Source organism: Homo sapiens, chromosome 10 (genome assembly GCF_000001405.40).
Source record: "Homo sapiens chromosome 10, GRCh38.p14 Primary Assembly".
Taxonomy (NCBI): Eukaryota; Metazoa; Chordata; class Mammalia; order Primates; family Hominidae; genus Homo; species Homo sapiens.
The window spans coordinates 59,769,825-59,771,292 of NC_000010.11; the positions used below are offsets into that span (position 1 = coordinate 59,769,825).

The following is a 1,468-nucleotide window of genomic DNA, read 5'->3' on the forward strand; positions in this document are numbered from 1 at the left end:
AGGATATGCCCTTGTTTACACTGACAACAAAGTGGTATTGGAGTGTTATAGGGTAACAGAGAATACCCTCAATTATCAGTTACAGGTTTTAAATTTACCTTGGCTTTTAAAGGAATAGGGTACACTGTTTTTTTTCTTAACTGCTTGTATATATCTCTCTTTCTCTCTTTGATTTTCCTTTTGCCTCTGTCTCTTCCTCTCTCTCTTCTCTGTCTCTCTCTCTCTCTCTCTCTCTCTGCCTCGCTTATGCTGCAGTTCTCTCAACCACTGTGGAGAGATCTCACACCAGCTGTAACCAAGCGTCTGTGTACGGGAACTGGTCTGGGTGCCCTGGCTTTACAGGTTACCTTGTGCCATACCTTTGAAACAAGGGACCTGTCCAGGCTTCCTTCTGATGGCCAACCCACCTCTAATGCTGACCAGTCTATTTTACACAAAGTTTTAAATTTTCCTGGTGTCATAGTACTCCATAGTCTCCCTTAAATACTTTCTTGAAATTTTTCAACATAGTTCCTAGTAGATTGGGCTTATTTGTGCCTGACCCATGCTTCTTCAATACAAAACACCACGCTCACACCACACGCACACCACAAAACAAAGAATGAGTAAAAAGGGCACACACACACTTTGCAGTTTACACCAAACCAAAATCAAAACCAAATTCAGAGTATCCAGAAATCCAAGCCAGGTCAAAACCAAAACCAAAGTATCAAGCAATCCAAGTCAAGTCAAAAACAAAAACCAAAGTGCCAGTACAGGCACACTGTGGGTGATCAGGCCACGCTTCCACTCAAATGGAGTAGGCAAGTTCCCAAGACCAGTCCTGTCAAGCAATTCAAACCAAGTCAAAACCAAAACCAAAGTGCCGATAAAGGCACACCGTGGGTGATCAGGCCACGCTTCCACTCAAATGGAGTGAGCAAGTTCCCAAGACTAGTCTTACCAAGTTTCAAATGTCCGGACTCCAAGTACCAGTTCCTTCCCAGTGTTTAGCCTCTGTGTTGATCCTCCATGGAGGCCTGCCACACACTGCTCTGGCGATGTGTCCCACTGGGGCAAATGCCTACCAAGGAGCGCTCTCAGGATCCGCGTCACTTGGGCTGGTAGGAGTCTGCTGCAGGGATGTTCCACAGGGCAGGCTTAAGTCGCCTAAGGAGCTGCCTCGACCATCCACCAATCACCTCGCTTCCCAGTCAGGGAACCAAGAAATGTAGCAGGATGAGCCACAGACAAAACTCCTCAGAGTTAAAGAAGGAAGGGGTTTATTCGGCCGGGAGCATTGGCGAGACTCCTGTCTCAAGAGCCAAGCTCCCTGAGTGAGCAATTCCTGTCCCTTTTAAGGGCTGACAACTCTAAGGGGGTCCACATGAGAGGGTCATGATCGAATGAGCAAGCAGGGGGTACGTGACTGGGGGCTGCATGCATCGGTAATCAGAACGCAATAGAACACGACAGGAATTTTTACAAT

The 1,468-nt window shown here is 46.9% G+C and overlaps 1 annotated feature.

Moving 5' to 3' along the window:
- Nucleotides 290-479: a silencer, noted in NCBI's record as "fragment chr10:61529872-61530061 (GRCh37/hg19 assembly coordinates)". NCBI's record gives its function as "represses an EF-1alpha promoter that drives an FKBP-Casp9 reporter gene in an ReSE screen in HepG2 liver carcinoma cells {active_cell/tissue: HepG2}" and the evidence as "EXISTENCE:reporter gene assay evidence [ECO:0000049][PMID:32094911]".